The sequence below is a fragment of the Homo sapiens genome, chromosome 4, assembly GCF_000001405.40.
Source record: "Homo sapiens chromosome 4, GRCh38.p14 Primary Assembly".
NCBI classification, from domain to species: Eukaryota; Metazoa; Chordata; class Mammalia; order Primates; family Hominidae; genus Homo; species Homo sapiens.
In genome coordinates this window covers 122177588-122190290 of record NC_000004.12, presented here as the reverse complement: position 1 = coordinate 122190290, position 12703 = coordinate 122177588, and the positions used below count along the sequence as shown (strand labels likewise).

Sequence of the window (12703 nt, the reverse complement as noted above, 5' to 3'; positions counted from 1 at the left end):
AATACCATCTCTACAAAACTTTAAAAATTAGTCAGGCATAGTGGCATATTCCTGTCATCTTAGCAACTCAGGAGGCTGAAGTAGGAGGATTGTTTGAGCCTGGAAGGTCAAGGGTATAGTGGACTATGATTACGCCACTGCATTCCAGCCTGTGTGACAGAGTCTCACTCTGTCACTTTAAAAAAAACAGCAACAACAACAACAACAATACCTGGCTCATCCATGTAGTAGTAGATGTCAACATCATTTGACTGCATCACCACAAAACCTTCTCCCATTAATCTCGGTGGTCTATAAGAAGGTGGAGGGGAAAGCAAACTAAACAAATCTCCAGAATATAAAATGTTCAGTATCCTAGTTAATGCTGGCAATAGGTGAAAAGAAAAGGAAAAAAAAACTAACAAGCACATAACAAGTAGCATCCTGAAAAGAAAGAAAAACATCTTTCCAATGAACAATCATCCTAAGAAATTGTTCCATGTTTTATTCTATGTTGGACTTAATAATAAAATGATACTAAAAATTTATCAGTAAATTACTTCAAGAAGAAAAAAAAATTTGGTTTTAAAAAGAAAAAATTTAGTTTTATATTTTTCATTTTCAGTTTTGAATGAGAGAAATCGATTTAAAACAAAGTTTAAATACAATGGAATGATGATCACTGGAATAAAATGATCATATTCTGCATTTACAACAAAATTAAAATTTGACCACTTAATATTAATAACTAATAAGTATCATTTTATCTATCTGTATATTAAACTATAATCATTCAAAAACATTAAATAATAAAAAAGTTATCATTTTTATCTTCTTATTACCTATTTCCATGAATATTTAATCAACTTGAAATAAATCTAGAGCAAACATCGTGAACTCTAACTCTGGAATGAACGTTTTTCTACCATCAATAATTTCCCAGAAACCATTAATCTTTGCTTGCTTTGATTAAACAACTTTTCTCTTTGTCATACATACATCACAATATCTTCTTGCATATCAAAATTAACTTCTCAATCATTAGATGATATTAAATGCAAAAACTTGCAATTTTTTTCTAAATATGTATTAAATCACAAAGCTTAATGTTTAATATCATCATGTAATCTCCACACTTAAGTGAAAAATACAATTTTAAATCTTTTTATACAAATTATTAATAGCAAGACACTTTTTCATCTTACTCTCTATAATTTTTCAAAAAAATCCTGATTTATTCAGTATTATACCTTCACTCATACACATTTGTGTGCACAGTCCACATTCCAGAAGATTCTTAACCAAGTCCATGATCTTGAAGAGTGAGGCCAGGAAGACCCACAGTCACCGCGATACTCAAAAAGGAAAAACCCTCTTTCTATCATTCTAGCCAAATCCTGGAAAATCGAATACCAGGCCAGCCAAGAGTTACAACTAAAAAGGAATAATCATGTTTCACATAAAACCTCATAAGGTACCTACACACAAAGATAAAAGCTGAGACACTGTACTGAAAACTCTCCATATGAACACTTAAATTCAACCAGAGTATCCTTTACACACACAAAAATTGAGAAAAAACATAAAAATCACAAGAGCCCATCTCCCACTCAGCATCCCATCACACTGAGTCTAGTGTACATCATTCCTATAATGAGTCTTATAAATACAAGCAGCTACTTCACTGAAGGAAAAAAAAAAAAATGGAAAGCTAGATGGAAAACTGACAGTTTGGAACTTAAAGAAATGTCAAGTGGGTCTCAAAACTATACCATCTTAACTTCACCAAATTTTCCAAGAGTAATTTCGATTCAATTTTCGACTTTCAATAACTCAAAGTGGTATTCCACTGCAATGAATCTGTTCAATTTACTCTTTAGTCACATCTTCTAGAAACAAAAACCTACCTGTAATGTGTATCTCCTAACATACAAACAGGAACTAATTGCACAAAGTAAGTTTCCAAAATACAATTAGAAGGAGAAAAGGATAAAAAAATTATAGTTATAATCATGCAGAAAAATATTTAAAATTAGAGTTTATCACTGGATAGCATATCCATTTATCCTATAAAGAAGGACTACATTGTTAACTGCTTTAATAGAGAAATATACCTAATTTTTGTACAACTTGTAGCAAAAAAAGTAAAAGGATGTTAAAGTTTCTAGCTGTATCTGTATTACCTATAAGAAGTTTTTTATTATTTTTATAAGATTTTCTTACTCATCATTTTGAAGACCAACATATCTTGGACTAGGAACAAGCATGACTCGAACATTTTCAAGCTTTCCTTTCACAATATGCATGAATTGGTCAAGATGACTTGAAGGTGGTTTTGTAGTATAAGTTAAGAAAGCATCATCAAAGTTGATGCACAGAGTTTGCGGCTGGTAGTGATTTCCAAAGGCCAAACGTCCCTAAAAAAAAAAAAATAAACAGATAAGAGATATTATATCATGCTATTCTGGCCATATTTCTTTCTTTAGCTAAACTAATAACAAACATTTTCAAACAACAGCTTAATGATTCCACTTTAGGACTATGTGCTATTTAAACTATTCCACTGGTCAATTTAAACCAGTAGTTAAAAGAAAATTTAAGTACTTAAAGAAATTTAAACACAAATTTATCAGAAAACAGTATTTTAAAATAATTATTTCACTCACACTATACAGAAATGGGAACTAAAAAAAACTCCACAAAACTATTTAATTTTCTTACATTAAAATCATATTTGCAAAAATTAAAAGTTCTACATTACTACCCCATGAAACAGTAATTGTAGCAGAATTTACTTACTGTGCTCACATTGACCTTTATGACTGGAATAAGTGATCTCCATGAAGATGTGGGGTCTTGGGATTCTGTTTTTACTTTAACTCTAACAAGAAAAAATAAAACTGACATGAATAAGAAAACCTTAAATACCTGAGGACATAGTTCACTTCCTCACAATACCATACCTCACAGTTTCAGTTTACCTTTCCAAATACATCTAGTGACTACTTCAGTAAACAGAACAATGATCATCTGAAGGAATACTAATATTCCTACAGCTGTCTACTGGAGCACTCTTATCATATCAACTTTTAGATGGATAAGCTATTATAACAAAACTATGTTTTTAGAATAACAAGCTTTAATGACAAAACTATAAGGGATGATATGCTGTCATTACATCTACCATTTTGCCCATTATGTTACTATACGACATTTTATAAGACAGCCAAAGTTATTATTAAACATAAATGATTAAGGTACAAGTCACTTTGATGTTTGTCTACTGTTTTAAGCACTTCTGAAAACAATCCAGTTGCTCCTCTTCCTTCCCTCACCCAAATGCCTTGTGCCAAATTAATTTTCCCTTAATGAAATGAAAATGATAAGCCAAGAGTAAGAAAACTGGCCATATACAAAGTACACAAATGTTAAGAAATCAAAATTTCACAGCAATTCACTAAACAGATAGATAATATATAAATAAATAGGTGTGGCTATGTCCCAATAAAACTCTATATACAAAACAGGCAGTGGGCTAGACTTGTGCTATAGTATAGGTCTAAGTTTGCTGATCCTGTTCCAGAATAATTTTGTAGGTAGACCTACATACACAGATATGTATTTTTAAAAGCAGACCTACATATACAGATATGGAACAATCTTACAGACAAACTGCTACATAAAAAGCAAATTACAGAACAATACACACTATATGAGGCACATATTCTAAACACATATGTTTAGAAACACACAGAACAAAATCATGTATTTTATAAGCACCTTAAATATGTATGTATACATTTATGTACATACATTCAAAAGGATAAAAACTAAATTGATAACATTAGTTATTAATACGGAGAAAAGTAGGATTTGTGTGCAAGGGAATAGAACGGGACTTTTTTAGATTACATATTCTATATTATCTCAATTTCTAAAATAATTATATAATTATTTATGTTACTAAAAGTTTCAGTTAATTTGCAAAGAAATATTAGGCTCTGTTTAGGTGCATAGCCTCAATGATATTCTAATAAAGGCAAATGTTTAAATGCTAGAGTTTAATAAAATTCAAGTATGATACTGAACCTTTCAATTTTCGATTGGGTTCTTGTTCTTCCAATTTCCCGTGTTTTATCATCATCTTTCTTAGGTGGAATTATTGTTGGCTCCAAACCAAACAACTCTTGAAGGCGTCCATAAAGATCCGAGCGATTATAGACATGAAATTCAAAGTCATTGACTGTGATGTATAACCTGGTTTCTGCCTTTGGATCTAAAGACACCAATTACAAAAAAATTTTTAGTCAACTTTTTAAGAACTTCAAAGTTTTTACTCAAACATTTTTATACACCCAAAGTAATTCAATTTATTTTAAAATAGAATTCCATGATACAGAGAAGCATATTAATAAAATAAATACAAAACACTGGCCAAAAAAAGAAAAAACTTGATGTTTCTGTTATATTTTAATTTAGCATTCTAAAAACAACTTTAATTTCTAGATTCCAGTTATATACTGAAAAAATTTAAAGATTTTTATGCTAAGAACAGTAAAGTACCACTTAAAGAGTAAAAGTACACCTTTACCCTAATATATCCATATTTTTATACCAAAATATATGCAGTAAAATGTTTAAAGTATGATGCTTTATTTAACTATCATATTGGTATTTGAACTTTTGCATCACAGAAACTACAATTTTTCATAAATACTTATTTCCATAAACATACACAACACTAAAACATAGGTTTTATGAACTGTGGACTTCAATCTTCTCAAATAAAAGACATAATTACATTAAGTAGAAATAGCAATAGTAATTAATGAATCCATTTAAAGTGATGGATGAGGCACTTGTTTCTACTAAGGAAATAATCTAAAACAATGCATCACATGTCAACCAAAGAGAGCCACAGAAGAAAGGTACCACAATCAATGCTTTCTTTTGTTACCAAATGAAAGAACTACCATGTTTTCTGAGACCTCTTTTTTATAACCTCTATCCATTTTTATCTCTATTGAACAAATTCAAACATTTACGGATATTTAAATGTTTTCCACTTTATAACAGATGTTTTAGAAAACTATGGAGTTTACAAAACTCTGATTTTATCATCACTTGGTTGAAAAATCCTTTCTTTTCACCTAGTAATCTACTGTAATTTATAACTTCATTCCTACAGGAATATAGATTTAAACTTACAAGTCTGAGCCAGCCAAAATTACTTTAGATTTCACTATTACTTCACTAGTATTTAGTCTTCTATCGTTTTGCTATCATTCTCTTGCCCCACATAGCTTTTCCCCTCTTCTATACTATATGATATACTCTTCCCTGATGAAGACTGGCGTAAATGGGCTAGTATTTGGCATCTGTAGGAATAATGAAATCAGAATATTAGGGGCAGATTTCATGTCTGGAAAAAGTATTCCAACAGCTAGAGCAGCTGTTCATTAGATAAGTTTGAACAAAGGCTAAGTTTTGTCATACAATATTCTGAGAGAGTATGAAATGGGCATTTTGCAGTTTCTCATGTGTGGCTTAGAAAGGCAGTATGCTAATGAGTCTCTAGACTGTGACTGTATAGTACCAGTTGTTAAACCAGCATTTTTACCTTTTTTTCTTAGCAACTGCTATGAATGTTTTTTGTTTTTTGGTTTTTTTTTGAGACGGAGTCTCCCTCTGTTGCCCAGGCTGGAGTGCAATGGCACAATCTCAGCTCACTGCAACCTGGCACCTCCCAAGTTCCAGCAATTCTCCCACCTCAGCCTCCCAGTGAGATGGGATTACAGACACCCGCCATCATGCCTGGCTAATTTTTGTATTTTTAGTAGAGAAGCGGTTTCACCATGTTGTCCAGGCTGGTCTCGAGCTCCTGACCTCAGGTGATCTGCCCGCCTCAGCCTTCCAAAGTGCTGGGATTACAGGAGTGAGCCACCACACCCAGCCCTACAAACTTTTTTTCTTAGCAACTGCTATCAACTATCTAAAAAATAATTTTAGGTGGCATTTAAGTGAAGATATCTTACTTACACTGCAGAGATGGCTAAACTTATTCCTAAGAGCCACGTTCTTTTCAGTCTTGGCTTTTGACACATTCACTTAACTTTGAGCAGGCCCAATATTTCTGCCTTTGATTTCATTTATAAAGTCTATCTAGTTTGTTCCTTAGAGAGATTTACTTTAGGTGCATATTTTCCCCTACATGTCATGCTTCTATTAATCTTGCAGTCTATTTGTTAGATGATTTGCTCTTTTGACTAAACTTTTCTTTTTTAAAAAAATATTTAGTTAACATAAGCCATATTGTTAACAAGATTACAGTGGAGCTGAAACAAAATTTTTTGTTTACATAGCTGGTTTATGATTTTGAAAAAAAAAATGTACCTCTTTGTGGATATTTACACTAGATCTTTTAATCTCAATTATTTTCAGTATTTAGGATATTTGTGTGAATAAATAAAGCTGTAGGGGGACAGTGAGGTTGGAAAGTAGAGAAGAAGGTCCATTTGAACTAATATCCCATGCTATTAACCCTAGAATTTTGTTCCAAAGAACAAAACTTGGAAAAAATTGATCTTCTCAAAACCCCTCATCAACTTGGAAATAACTAATACTTTAAAAACCTCTCATTTTGCTGATTAAGAAAGAAATTCCTGTGATTGTAACTTGTAGAGTCAAAGCAAAAACCTAGGTCTGCTAAATTCTAGTCCAGTGCTCCTTGTATTATAAAACAGCCTTGTTAACTGGGGCCCAAATAAGTCCTTGGAAATTCTTATCATAAATATTGATTGCAGCTTGTGGAAAGGATGGACATCTGCAGTATCCAGAGGCAAGTGACAGTTTAAAGCTATAAGCCTAATGACACTGACCACTTTAGAATTTTCTGATTTTAGAAATTCTCTGATTCTAGAATTTCTAGAGTGCAGAATGTAAATCTTAAATTGTTTAAGCTTTTTTTTTTTTTTTTGAGACAGGGTCTCGCTCTGTCCCCCAGTGTGGCATGCAGTGGTGCAACCATGGCTCACTGCAGCCTCAATCTCCATGGCTCAAGTGATCCTCCCACCTCAGCCTCCCAAGTAGCTGGGACCCCAGGCACGTGTCACCATGTCTGGCTAATTTTTGTATTTTTTGTAGAAACAGGGTTTCACTATGTTATCCAGGTTGGTCTCAAACTTCTGGGCTCAAGCAATCCTCCCACTTAGGCCTTCCAAAGTGCTGGGATTACCAGTGTGAGCTACTGCAACCAACCCAGCTTTTTTTCTTTTTGAGAAAAGTAGTTACTTCATTTGATCATGAAATATTACATCTCATTAAAATGAATTGCTCCTCACCAGAATACACGTATGAAGTCAAGAATAAGTGACCCAAGTGTCTTTCAAGAAAGAGGTGGTTTTTGATAAAAATCTTTAACAGGTATTTATTTGGCATTCACTTTATTAATCATTGTGTTAAGCTGGGAGAGGGATTTAAAAAAAGAAAGAGGGAAATGAGTGCTACTTGAATCGATTTGGTAGAGCAGATGCATATAAACAATTACAATTAAAGGAGAAAGGGAGCAGTGAATGTGAATGGAGGAAAAATACTGAGAACTTCTAACTTTGATACAGAACATTTCGTATGGTCCCAACAGGGTCATGGTTTGACAATAAAGTTCTGCCCATTTGTCAGGAAGCAGAATGGTAGATGGAGGGCTCCTGTGAATGCCTTATTCCTCAAGGAGCATGCATGATGATGAGTGAGTAGGATTATGTCAGACAGATGTGGAGCGGAGGGGAGCTCAGATGGAATAACTGATTAGACCAATGGCACTGAGGTTAGAAAATGTGTGTGTTTAGAAATTCAATTTGGTGGTGGTAAATTTAAGGTAATGGGGTAATAGGGGATGATTTGGAAACTGTGTATGGAGGACCCTGAACACCTGGCAGGCACAGTCAATAAACTCAGGGGAGGGCAGGGGAGTGCCATAAACTCAGCTTCTTTGAAAGGACATAGCAAAATGTAGTCACTACTTCAGATTCATACACCTCAGGTTAACAGAAATAGCTTAAATACTGGCCTTCCCTTGACTGGCTTTCCCCCATAATTTCTGTCAATGTCTTGAATTCTTTTTGTCACTCTTTTAATATTAGCATATTGCTGTCTCTCTGTATGCTCTCTGTAATTGTCCATAATCTAGAATAGAAATATTATAATTTTTGGATATTCTGTATTCTTCTTAACATTTAAGAATATTTAAATTGTTTTTGGCTTAAGTGTTCTTTTTTAAATTTTTTGTGTGCCAATGATTTTCAATAGAAAAAAAGATTCCACACCTCTATTTTATAGCGATGTTAGAGGTTGGTAGATGTTATCAATTATTACTTTTGCAATTACTAATAATTTGCTCATACTTTTACCTACAATATGACATTTAATTCTCATCAAGAGGAGCACAACATTGGTGAAGAGTCAATTAAGTTTTTCTTCCCTGTGCTTTTTTAAAGGAAATTCTCTAGTATGGAGGATGACATTCTTAACAACATACTCAATGTCCTTCAAAAGTAAAGACATGATGTCAAATAGTAATGCAGGAATAAATAATTTGGTTTGAGTACATTATCGGTCTACCATTACTCAGGGACAGAATTTAGACTATACTAGATAGAGGAATGAATAGGCTGCAAATGAAGCTTTTGATAAAAGTCTAACAAGATTAGCAGCTTATACAATCATTATATATAATATAAAAACAGATTATGTTCACTAACAAGACCTTATAATCAGTATTTCTCTCTCTGATTAAGGGCAGATCCATATGCTTGGCAGTTAACCAAGAAGGAAGTTGATGTTTCTTGGTGGAAAAATTAGAAGCCTAATTGGGGCATATGCCTGAATAGACAGATGTGCATTCAGCCTTCCAAGGAGATGGACCAAAGTCTGTCTGTAGGTAGGACCAAGATTTTTATTACTAAGTTTTTGAATTGCTCTATCAGGAAAAAAGAGGAGTGTTCAAGTGCCCAAATTCTGCGCCAGGAGCACATTTAGATCTGTCAGTTGTCCAGTATAGCTCTTTTAAAAAAAAAGAACGCATCTAATTTGTTTATCATAGAATGTTTGTAAATACTCCCTAGGTTATAAAATTAGTGATCTGCTTTATAGATGATTGTCAGCTAAAGACCAATTATATCTGTCAAAAATCTTTATTTTGTTTTTAGGATAAAGACTGTCTTTTGGAAAATAAACTGTAAGACCAGTTGCCTCTTAACAGGCAATGATATATCATAATGTTTAAATGAATATGGATCTGAATAAATAGTCATGCTTTCTTCTTAACCACAAGAAATTCTTATACCAAGAAGTGAAAGAATGATGGTAAAGTATGTCCCTTTCTGTTATTTTATTACTTAGAGGTTTTAGCCTACTATAATCTATTAGTGTAATTTAAAACTGGTTACATCTAAACCTTGTTTGTTAAATAAATTACATAAATAGAAAACCCTGAGCAGTTTTTAAAAGGTCAGTAGACTGTTTTGTCTTTGTATTGATTCTCAGAATTGTAATGCCTTGGCAGCACTTCTGCACCTTGCCTTTTTTACTACAAATAGCATGTGTCCCAATTACATAATTAAATACGTATCTTTTTTCTAATTTCTCTTTGGAAAACAAGGAGTCTCAATTAGCTGTTTGTTCAGAAGACTTAAGCAGTTCTACAAAATGCATTTACTTTTACTTTTGTTTTGTGAAGAGTTTAGTATCTGGGTTCCAATCTACTTCTTGCTGGTTGTGTAATCTTGGGCTCCAATCACTAGAGTTGTTGTGAGGATTAAATAAAATTATGTGCATAGAGTGCCTAGAACAGTACCTGGAACACAGCAAGAGTGCAATAGAGCTGAGCTGCCTTTATCATTATTCTGAACATTATATCACATTCTGAAAGATTATCTTAAAAGAATAACTTGAAAACAAATATATAATTTACATGACTAGTAAGAATTTGACCTTCAAAGAGAAAAAAACTAGTATTTATTTTGTACAGCAATCCTACAGGTAAGTAGAGGTGTTCTCATTTTATAGATGAAAAAAATGAGGCTCAGAGTGGTTAAAATTCTTGCCTTAAGTCACAATATTAGTAAATGACGTTACAGGGATCACATCCTATATTCTTTCTACTATTTATTTACCTCCTTTGTCCAGTTCCTGAAGAATCCAATGCAGCCATTCTCAACATATTAGGTTTTTTTAAAGAAGCCGTGTGTGTGTGTGTGTGTGTGTGTGTGTATGTGTGTGTGTGTGTGTGTACATGCACGTGTATATGAGAGATGGATGCCTTTGGAAGAAGTGCCTGTCTTTTGGAGGGATACTTGTTTATGAGGGGACATGCTCACTGCTGGGGATATGCCTCCATTGATCTGGAATGGTACCCCTGTCTGTATGTGGGGGGCAGGGAGGATACTTTGCATGTAGCCTCTGTGTATTTATCTCTGTGAGGGGGATACAGTGAGTGTACTAGCACTTGTGTGGGCATGCAATGTGTGGCTGTGTGAGTGTGTGTGCATGTATGTGCTCATCTTTGAAAATGTTTCTCTGTACATAAGTGTACCTATATGTGCACGCCCATTTCTGTATGCATATATATGCCTCTCTGTATGTGTCCTTTTCCCTGTGTTTCTGTTCTATGGGTGTGCTTTTAGGCAACCTGTCTCTTTGTATCTAAGTGTGTAATACTGGGGTACAGGTACGGAGGATGAAAGGAGTGTTGCCACATAAAATACTCCTGAGGATGGTAGAAGGCTAGGAATATTAACAAAAAAGATCCTGGACAGAAGCCTTGAAGAAAATACAGACCATGTAAGCATGGAGATCAGCCCACGCTTGGAGATCTGGTTTACTGTTTAATCATACAGGTCTTTGGCTGGAATATTATTAATGCAGGTGAACTAAATAGAAACAAGAGAACAAATAAAGGTGGGATGTGAACTGAGCTAAATGTTTCTCTTTTAAAATATGAGACCAAGCAGTGCATTTATCTATTTATTTATTTATTTATTTATTTTTTAGAGAAAAGGTCTTCCTCTGCCACCCAGGCTGGAGTGCAGTGGTGTAATCATAGCTTACTGTAACTCAGCCTGAGGCATGTTCCCACCTCAGGCCAAGTAGCTAAGCCTACTGGCATATACCAGCACACCCAGCTCATTTTTTAAAATTTTTATAGAGACATGGTCTTGCTAATGTTGTATAAGCTGGTCTCAAACTCCTGGCTCAAGCAATCCTCCCACCTCAGCCTCCCAAAGCACTGCGATTACAGGCATGAGCCAACATGCCTTGCCTCAAAAGGTGCTTTTTAAATGCTTACAGACTTGCTATTTGTTCAATACTTTTCTAAGGTGATTTTTGGAAGGAAAAGAGTGATTTACGCATTTTGTTCAACCTTAAAATTTTTAAACCTATTTATTATTTTTATTTAATAATTTAACAATTATTTATTCAACATCTTCTATGTACTAGTCACTGTTTTAGGCACCAGAGATATGGCAGTGAACATAGGAAAAATTATGCACTAATGCAGAAGGGTGCATTCTGGCTGCAGAGGTGAAAATAAATAATAAAATAATAAATGAGATAATAATGGAATAAAAGCTGAAAAACAGGATAAGGAATGTTGAGGAGGATCTTACAATATTTTAGTATTCAGTATTTAGTGTTTATCAGTGTTGTCAACGTACATTCAGAAATTAATACCTTTCTCTTTATGCCTTGGCGTCTCCAATTAATGAAGCCATATCTTATCATAGCTGTTATATTGAAAGGAGAGAATCTGTCGTACATGCCCAGCAAGTTAGAGACGGATTTGAGAGTAATCCTGTTTTCATTTTTATACAGTCACCGTTTGTTTATGCATCACTGCTGATCCAATTAGGGGCAGGTCCAGGCTCTTAATTTCCCTCATTGCTGCTTCTGCAGCTCACCAACTGGCCTTTAAAGTGTATGCCTAATAATCAGGACATTTGTATGCAGGTATCATTAGTAAACTATTGCTTATGTAAATTTGAAAACAAACAATTTAAAAGAGTTTCCTGGTAAATTTTGATTGAGTTGTTTATAACCTTGAAGAATCTCATAAGAATTAATTTCTACTGGTATAGGTCTATCTGGGAATAGAAACATATCATATTTTAGGTTTATTATGCCTCCACATGTTAGATTTTCAAGCATTCTATAAGATGTTTCTCAATGTTTTGTTTTACTTAGAAGTATGACTAGGAGAAAGATACTCTGTTACTCTTTTATACAAATGAGTTCTTCTATGTACTAAGCATTTTTCTAGACACCAAGTATACAGTACAGAACAAAACAAGTCCCACCATTTACAGAGTTTGCTTCATTCAAGTTAGGTAGATTCCACTAATAAGCAAGTATAAATATATATACAGCATCAAGGAATGCATGAGAAAAATACAGCATTGAAGAAAATAAAAGCAAGGTTAGTGGAACAAAGAGTGCTAGTTTGTGGGGGAGGGTGCTGCTTTACAAAAGTATTCAGGAAAAGCTTCATTGATAGAGGATAGTTAACCAGAACCACCAAGCAAATAAGGGAATGAATACTGTGAATATCCAGAGGCCAACATTTCATGGTGGCTCTGCTGCAGTTTCATCACCAACACTAACAGGCCAGTTTATCTGGAGTGGGGTGGAAGGTAAGATGATCAGGAGGTAGAAGGAATTTTATAGAATATTT

At 33.9% G+C, this 12703-nt stretch overlaps 1 protein-coding gene across 41 annotated transcripts in view; it reads right to left on the bottom strand.

The window, feature by feature from the left end:
• Positions 1-12703, bottom strand: part of BLTP1 (bridge-like lipid transfer protein family member 1) — a 210422-nt gene that overhangs the window by 172462 nt on the left and 25257 nt on the right. For 40 of the 41 annotated variants that reach the window (XR_938783.2, XM_047416253.1, XM_047416259.1 and 37 more), the window contains 4 exons: positions 4069-4255; positions 2779-2860; positions 2203-2396; positions 212-291 (listed from right to left, as the gene is read on the bottom strand). Coding sequence is in view for 40 of the 41 variants with exons in the window: in XM_047416253.1 (XP_047272209.1) it covers positions 212-291; positions 2203-2396; positions 2779-2860; positions 4069-4255 (543 nt within the window). In the remaining variant the exon portion in view is untranslated. Of the gene's footprint in view, positions 1-211; positions 292-2202; positions 2397-2778; positions 2861-4068; positions 4256-11706; positions 11948-12703 lie in introns of those variants that run through there. The other variant, XM_047416272.1, reaches the window with a different exon arrangement.